The sequence below is a fragment of the Homo sapiens genome, chromosome 10 (assembly GCF_000001405.40).
Source record: "Homo sapiens chromosome 10, GRCh38.p14 Primary Assembly".
NCBI lineage: Eukaryota > Metazoa > Chordata > Mammalia > Primates > Hominidae > Homo > Homo sapiens.
In genome coordinates, this window is record NC_000010.11 from 118,497,725 (window position 1) to 118,507,006 (window position 9,282).

Sequence of the window (9,282 nt, forward strand, 5' to 3'; positions counted from 1 at the left end):
CATGGTTCTTGAACTCATTTTCTCATCAGTAAAACACAGATATAATAATTCCTACCTCATCAGTTTTACGGAAGTTAAATAATTTAAGATAGCACATAACGTACACTGAGTCAATAAATATTAGCTGTCACAGTCCTTGTTAATGTCAAGATCTTTGTCACTATTACTGTTCCTATTACTCAAAATCCAATATAAGTGGCATCAGCTCTGATATGGTTTGGCTGTGCCCCCACTCAAATCTCAACTTGAATTGTATCTCCCAGAATTCCCACGTGTTGTGGGAGTGATCCAGGAGGAGGTAATTGAATCATGGGGGCCGGTGTTCTCCATGCTATTCTCGTGTTAGTGAATAAGTCTCACGAGATCTGATGGGTTTATCAGGGGTTTCAGCTTTTGCTTCTTTCTCATTTGTCTCTTGCTGCTGCCATGTAAGAAGTGCCTTTCACCTCCCGCCATGATTCTGAGGCCTCCCCAGCTATGTGGAACTGTAAGTCCAATTAAACCTCTTTTCGTTCCCAGTTTGGGGTATGTCTTTATCAGCAGCGTGAAAACAAACTAATACATGCTCTAATAAATAAGTCCCGTCCCTGCTGGACCACACTTAAAGTTCCCTCTTTTGACCATAGCATTTTTGTCTCAGTCAAACCTTTTGTCCCTGGGTTTAACCTTTATAACACATACCACACTTTGAAATTTGATACATATATATTCATTTACTGGTTTATTGTCTGTTTTGTCTCTTCAGTAGAAGAGTCCTACCTATCTTGTTCCTTTCTTGAGTAATTCAAATTATATTAAATTTTTTTTAAAAAGAGCCTGTATTGCCTCAGGTGACTGGGAAATCCAAAGTGCTGGATTCAGAGTTCAGATGAAGCTGTCATGACTCTTGTACTCTTTGTCTCTCAGCTCTGCTTGCTTTTTCTTTGCTCCAATGTCACATACTTTTTCCCTCTATGGAGACAATGTGATCCCCTACATTTCCAGAGAAAGAAGTAAATGATGTCGCTCAAATCTCTGGTGAAAAGTTCGAGGGCTGACTCTGATTGAACCATTTGAAGTCATATGCTCATGCCTGAACCAATCGCAAGAGTCTATGCATGCAGGAGGAATTCTAATTGGCTAGTCAGGGACACAGTCCTCCCTTACCACAGGAGGGTGGAGTCAGCCTTGACCAAATCAAGTAGAAGGAACAGGAATATTATGGAATAATGAGTGAGGGATAGTTTCCCAAATACTGAGCAGACAAAATAATAATAATAAACACCACCCCACTGTATACACGATGCCTAGCATGGAGCAATCACAGCATAAGTGCTCAATGAATGTTTTTTAAATGAATAAGTAATTTATGTGTTTATTTCTTGCCTCCCTGATGCCTAAAGAAACAAGGGCATGAAAATCAGGCAGGATCCATCCCAGGATTCAAGGCTTGCTCCAGCCCCTAACAGCAGGATGATTTGGGGTGAGTTAACGTTCTCCCCTCTGAACACCTGTTCTTCCCTAGAAACCAAGATAGAAAATACTTTCTCTATCAACCTCTCTCAGGATTTTTATGAGGATTAAATCATATAGCATATATAAAAGACCTCTTAAAATAGTACACAAGTGGGTGTTGCAAATAATAATGAGGCTGGCAGGCAGCTGTGGCTTAGAGTCACAATATCCTCTACGTGTAGGAAGTGCCTTCAATACTTAGCACATCACATGGAATGTGGTGGCTGTAGGACCACTCGTGCCTCTTATTTCTTTTCATGTCTGTGTAGTGCTTACTTGGATGCTTTGGCTAAAGAAAGAGAGAATAAGAAGTTGTGAGTTCATCTGTGTGTGTGTGTGTGTGTGTGTGTCTGTTGTGTGTATGTGTCTGTTGTGTGTGTGTGTGTGTGTGTGTTTTAAACCAAGATTTAACTAAACCTCAGGAGTTTTCAATCTGTTTTCCTAATAAAGTTTACTCAGAAACATTGGACCGGCAGTGACTGTTGAGAGACCCCAGGGCTATTTGTGTAAATTGAAAAGACTCCTGAGCTCACTCCTGTTTTTATTATGGGAATCACACTAAATGTGATAATTTTTGTGAAGCGTGTTTGCTGTCAACTTCTAATTGTGCTTGTTCATAAGCAGCTGAATAGGAAAAAACCATCTCAATCTATCTGTGATTACAGTCACCAAATATAGAATCTTCCCATCAGACCTGAAATAGAAAACCTCACCTTTAATAACTTTGTGTCGCACAAACGCTGGGCTCAGACTCTCAGAGGGAACGTGGCATCACATCGAATGTTCTCTCCTCCACAGTTAACTCTTATACTTCAAAGTTGTGTGTGATTTAAGGTTTGATTTGGGGCTGCATTCTCTGCAGCCCCAAATGTGAAGTGATTTCCCCATACTAGATACTAAGAGGCGTACTACAAGGCTTACTGACCTCTGCTTAGTGGCTATTATTATGAACTCAGAATTAAGCTGATTGCTAGTAAAACACATGTACTTGGTTATATTTTGTTTATAATATTTCTCACAGTAAAAGTATCCTCTCAGCACACTTCTAAGCTCCTTAAGGACATTCTCTTAGTTTAGAACTAGAAAAAAATACTGAAAAACACAGAAGCTGTTTAGTCCAAGCTTGATCTAAAAGAAGCACAGATAGGCTGGGCGTGGGGGCTCATGCCTGTAATCCCAACACTTTGGGAGGCCGAGGTGGGAGGATCACTTGAGGTCAGGAGTTCGAGACCAGCCTGTCCAACATGGTGAAACTCCGTCTCTACTAAAAATATAAAAAGTAGCTGGACATGGTGGTGGGTACCTGTAATCCCAGCTACTTGGGAGGCTGAGGCACGAGAATCCCTTAAACCCAGAAGGCGGAGGTTGCAGTGAGCCAAGATTGCGCCACAGCACTCCAGCCTGGGCATCGGAGTGAGACCCTGTCTCAAAATAAATAAATAAATAAATAAATAAATAAATAAATAAATAACAATAAAAGAAGCATAGATAAATTAAGTCTATTCATTGTAGTCTAAGGCACAGTGCTAAGCACATAGTAGATGCTTAAAAAACCCTTGCTGGCGTGACTTGAGTGGATTTATAGCCTGTGATTACCTTTTAGCATCATTGGCAGTTTGCCATAAAAAACACAATATCTGTTGACATCTCTTATCATGACATAAAAACAGATGGCTGCCCTGCACAAAATGCATAAGGCCCGAATGGCCCATCAACCAGTCTAGACCAGGCTATCTCAACATTCCACCTGGGCCTGGATTTAACCAGGAGTTGTGCAGAGGATGGAGAATACAGGGAGGCTTCTAAATCTAAACCCTGAGATCTTGAAAATTCCTTGAAAAGGATCCTCTACAAGGAGTTCTTCCAGTCCCTTGCACCCAACACTCCTATTTATCCATGCTTTTGCTTTGCTATTCCCCCTCTCAGAAATGCCCTATTCCTCTTTTCCTCTCACCCTCACCTGGCCTTCCTGCCTCATCTGCTCTGCACATCCAGACCTTGGGTCACAGCCCTCCTGGAAGTGTGGTCACAGCCCTCCTGGAAGTGTAGTCACAGCCACAGCGTCTGTGCCAGCAACCATCCCAGCTCCTGGCTGCTGGGCCCAGGTGAGGCACTTTTGACTCATCATCTCCTATGATTATTCATAAAACCCCACAAATACATATGATTTTGCTCCTTTACAGATGGGAAAACCTAAGGCAGAGATTAGATAAGTAAACCGCCCAAGGTCACATGGTTAGTAGGTAGCCAAACAAGTGTCAACCCCACTCGGTCTGATACCAAAGCCTGTGATCATCTCTCTCTCACGATGCAGCTTCGCTTGGGTCGACCACCTTAAAAGACTCTTGTGTCATGGGGTCTTAGTTTACCTGAGTTTGGGAATTAAGGTTCATATGCAACTTCATAGGGTATTTGCCCTGTGCTGATGACCCTATATTTGGTCCTTCTGGGAATGGCTGTGATGCCATTGCCTTAGGGGAGGAAGGCCCAAACCTAAATTCAAAGCCCACAGAAATGAGTCTGTTGGCTGGGAGCATGAAGCAATGTGTTAAGAACATGAGTCACTGAGATTTCACCACCTTTGTGCTCTGCGGATTCCCTTGTCTTGACAAGCTATCATTTTGAGTGTTTAGGGCCACTGTGTAGCAGGAGTTCTATTTTGCAGCCTAAGCTGGACTCTGAAGAATTCAGACTTGCCCAGGCATTAGGGAAAAAATGTGCCAAGAATCGATTTGCACAAGGGAACAGGAGCCTGTTGGGAAAAGCCTCACCCTAAGGCAGAGAGAGTCCAGGCACATGAGCTCAGGTTGCAGGGAAGAAGAAAACCTCAGTAGAGCCCTGTCTGACAAGTGTCTTTTGCTTTCTCCCCACTCTCAGCCACTAGGCACTCCTGCCGAGTTCAAAGGAGAGGGCGCTTCAGTCAGACAGCAAATGAAAGCAAGGTGAGCTCGTTCACTAAAATGTCCTTGAACGGTTGAGGGCCCACGATGGTGCCCTGCTGTTCCGCTCCCCTCACCCTGGGTGGCATTGCTACTTCACTGTCATGGAACAGGACAGCCCACTTGGTGAGCACAGAACCATGAGTCTCTGATCCAGTGCCAAGCAGAATGTGCCAGCGGAATATGCCTGTATCTGCAAATGTGTCCTAACTGAAAAGCAAATCAAACCTCCACCACCCATTCTCATACATCTTTGTGTTAAATATGTTATAGTTTTCTCAAGTCAGATTTTTGCAAAATTCTTGCTGCTTTTCATATGTGGATCTTGTCGATCATTTGTCCCTTTTAGAGAGCAGTCAGCCTCACATGAGGAGTACTTGTCATTCAGCAAGGAATTAGGAGATGCCTGGTGTTTGAAGGGTCACTTGGCCTGTGGCTCCTTGAGGCCAACGCCTAGCCCAGTGCTCCTCCAAACCCTGTCCTTCAAGTGGCTGCGACAGTTGCCCATTTCCAAGAGGCCTTTCCCCTTATGAAAGGATCCAGCATCCTCACTCAGATTAAATACGATTTCTATTGGTTGTGTTTCCTAAATAAATTGCTGGTAAATTACATCATCAAATGCAATTGGCTTTAATGTCATCTTAAAACTTTAAAGATTTTGTAATGTCATTGGCTTTTCATCTTTTCTGAGCCTTTCTAGTTACATAATGATATGCAATTGCTAGAGGTTTATGCCTTGAAAAAAATACAAAAATGCCACACTGGTTCATGCCTTTTGGCCTTTGCTCAGGTCTTGCCCTCTGCCTGGAATGCTATTAAGAGCTGGCATTTGCTGAGTACACACTACGTGCCAAGCATTATAACAAATGTGTCCCAACATCCTTATGAAATAGACATGGTTATTGGTCTGATTTTGTAGTTTGGGGAAATTGAGGCACAAAGTAATAAATGACTGGCCCAAGTTCATATAAGTGGTAAGCAGTTAGAATTAAAACTCAAAGTCCATCTGCCTGGCACCAAAACAGAGCTCTTGACCATTCTGACAAACTGCTGCCTGACAGAATGTTTTTCAAGCCCACCTCCTTATGTAAACATTGAATGTCTATTCAGCCTTCAGGATGCCGATCCAGTATCTGCTCCTTTATGAAGCCCTTCTTGACTCCCATAACAGAGCTAACCCCTCCCTCTGGGCCACTTTGGCACCGTGTACACACTGTCTTGTTTTGCTTTGTCATCAGAATTATTTGTTATCATGTCACATGGGTCTATCAATTCCTTGAGGATAGGAAGCATGTCCCATGCCTCTTTGTATCCTTCAGATGTCTGGCACATAATAAGATGTTCAGTACATGCTGATTGACCACCTATCTGAAAACAAACTTAGGCCAGGCATGGTGGCTTCACCTGTAATCCCAGCACTTTGAGGGACCAAAGCCAGAGGATCACTTGAGCCCAGGAATTTGAGACCAGCCTGGGCAACATGGCAAGACCCCATCTCTACAGAAAATAAAAAAATTAGTTGGGTGTGGTGGCATGTGCCTGTAGTCCCAGCTACTTGGGAGGCTGAGGTGGGAGGATTGCTTGAGCCCAGGAGGTTGAGGCTGCAACAAGCTGTGACTGCACCACTGAACTCCAACTTGGGTGACACAGTGAGTACCCATCAAAAGAAAGAAAGAAAGAGAGAGAGAGAAAGAAAGAAAGAAAGAAAGAAAGAAAGAAAGAAGGAAAGAAAAGACAAGAAAGAAAGAGGAAGGGAGGAAGGGAGGAAGAAGAGAGAGAGAAAAGATAGCTTCATGGCCTTTTGGCTAAGATCAAGTGAGAGAAAGAGAGGGAGAGAGAAAGAGAAAGACAGAAAGAAAGAAGGAAAGAAAAAGAAAAGGAAGAAAGAAAAGTAAACAGAGGAAGGAAGGAAAGAAGGAGGGAAGGAAGGAAGGGAGGGGAGAGAAAAAGAGACAGAGAAAAAGATGGCTTCGTGGCCTTTTGGCTAAGATCAAGAGAGAGAGAGACAGAGAAAGAAAAGAAAAGAAAGAAGAAAGAAAGAGAAAGAAAGAAGAAAGAAAGAGAAAGAAACAAAGAAAGAAAGAGAGGAAGGAAGGAAAGAAGGAGGGAAGGAAGGAAGGGGAAGGGAAGGAAGGAAAGGGAAGGGAAGGGAGAGAAAGAGAAAAAGAGACAGAGAAAAAGATGGCTTCATGGCCTTTTGGCTAAGATCAAGTGAGAGAGAGAGACAGAGAAAGAAAAGAAAAGAAAGAAAGAAGAAAGAAAAGAAAGAAAGCAAGCAAGAAAGAAAGCAAGAAAGAAAGAAAGAAAGAGAAAGAGGAAGCAGGGAAAGGGGGAAGGAAGGAAGGAAGGGAAGGGAGGGGAGGGGAGGAGAAGAAAGAAAAGAAACTTAGACTGTTATTTGGCGGAACATGGGGCTCCTGTATTTCCTCACCCCTTTGAGACTGTGCAACATTGACACGTGCAAAAAAAGCCTTTGAACAATGATCCTCAGGGCTTTAACTCACCTCTAAGAGTTTTTTCCTAGGCTTTTCCTAGGCTGCTTCTCCTTAGAGCTACCATTTAGAAAGGGAGGCTGACTCATCAGTTCGGTGTCCATGCCACACCCATTGTCTGCCTTACAGCCTCTTGTTTCACCATCACCCATTGTTCTGTTTCCTTCTCAGTGCTCTCCAAAAGCAGCTTACATCAAAAAATCTGATCATGCCACAAAAACAACAGACTGTAATTGCTGTTTTCCACTGAAGCTTAATGATTCTCTCCTTACAACGAACCCATAATTACTTTTCAGAGTTCAGTGAAATTCGTTCAATAATAATGAAGGATGCATTCTTTCCCTAGCGTATCTAATTTAAATGGTTTTTTTCTAAATGGTAGCTATGACATGGTGACAAGATAGTACATAAGCTCAGATTTCTGTTGTTGTTAAGTACAAATATTTTGATAAGTGCAGCTAATATGAGATATATCCTCGTAGCTGGATATGATACACATTGAAATATGACATTGGTACCATCTGTTCTTCATCATAAATATAAATGAAGTGATAATGAGCAAAATGTGTTAAGGACCATCAGGATGATTGCACTCCGATGGTTTAATTTGGATCTTCATTAATCTAAAAATAAAACAATCTATACATGACAAATGAACACGTTTTTACCGACGCTGTGCAAGTAACTTTTAGGCTATAAACTATGTTCGTGCCACTTAAAATGAGAAGTGAATAATACAAAGAAGATTTGTTTTTTAAGCTCCCATTGAGTTCTCTGTTCAAATCACTTACACACTCTTCTCGTGGGTCTGTTTCAAATCCCAGTATGGAAACCTAGCCTGATGTTGTAGGTGGTGAAATAGAGGCAAAAAAGACCAGTTCAGGCACTTTCTCACTGTGTGACCTTGGCGAAGTTACTTCACCCCTCTGAGGCTCCATCTCCTTATCTCTCAAGGTTGCAAGGAGAACTTTCAGCCAGCCCCAGGCTCATACCTGCACAATGCTTGGCATTGCATAGTGCTCAATAAATAGACCACGAGCTAACATTTAGTGGGCACTTGCTGAGATGGATTACTTAATATGTAAATAAATATATAATATTTAAATATATATTATATATAATATTAAATATATATTATAGATATCTATATCTGTGGATATAGATATCTATATATAGATGGATTATTTAATATGTAAATAAATATATAATATATAAATATATAATATATTATAGATGGATTATTTAATATGTAAATAAATATATAATATATTATATTTTTTAATATATTTAACATTTATTTAATATGTAAATAAATATATAATATAATATATTATATATTTATTTACATGTTATATTTATATATTATTATATATAATATATAAATTATATAAATTATAATATATATAATTTATATATTATATATAATATATAATATATAAATTATATTATATATTATATATATTATTGTATATTATAATATATAATATATATTATATTATATAATATATAATATATACTATTATAGATATCTATATCTATATATTATTTAGATAATATACAGATTATACATTTACAGATTAGATAGTAGATATAGATAGATTATATATAAAAAAATCTAATATATAAATAAATTAAATATATTATTTAATATATAAATTATTTATAAATATATAATATATAAATAAATATATTAATATATGTTAATCTGACTAATATATTAATATGGATATAATTATGTATACTTATATGGATCATATAATGTATTCATTACCATTTCTCTCCATTTTACACGTGAAGAAACTGAAGCATACAGAGATAAGCAACCCGCCAGGCTTCAAGTGCCAGAACTGGGATCCAACCCAAGCAATCTCATTCCTCAACTTTATAGTGATTACAATTATTGATGTTGTTATGTATTCTCAATTACTAAGGGGAAAGAAGAACACATTATTTCCTAGTCAAAGTCTCCACAGCCGAAACAAGTGTAAAGTTGTTGCGGTTAAGCAGGGCCCTGATTATAGTAAGATCTTTTCTGTATTACACAGATTTCACCCAGATCACCAGCATTTGTCAGTAAATTCTCTTTTCCCAAGCCTACAAGCTCACCTCTAGGGCATGCTTTATTTCCCTCTAGCTGAACACTGCCTGCTAGGCCACTCTTGGAGGAAAGAGACAGAAATGTTCATGAGACCACTCAGGGTTTGCTGGACCAGGTGCCTCAAAGTCCAAGTAGCACTGACAGCAACTTTCCCCAGCATCACACTCATCCCCGCAGCCCTGGCCTCTCTGGCCACAGTCCAGGTACCCCTCCTCAGTCTTTCTGCTACTCTCTGCAGTATTTGAGCCCCAAGAGGGTC

The 9,282-nt window shown here is 40.1% G+C and overlaps 1 long non-coding RNA gene across 1 annotated transcript; it reads left to right on the forward strand.

Annotated features, from left to right (window-relative positions):
- Positions 1–450: 450 nt before the first annotated feature.
- On the forward strand, positions 451–8,952 carry LOC105378507 (uncharacterized). The gene is made up of 4 exons (XR_946354.2): positions 451–487; positions 1,383–1,462; positions 4,372–4,436; positions 8,723–8,952. It is a non-coding gene; the product is annotated as an uncharacterized LOC105378507 (long non-coding RNA).
- The last annotated feature ends 330 nt before the right edge of the window (positions 8,953–9,282 follow it).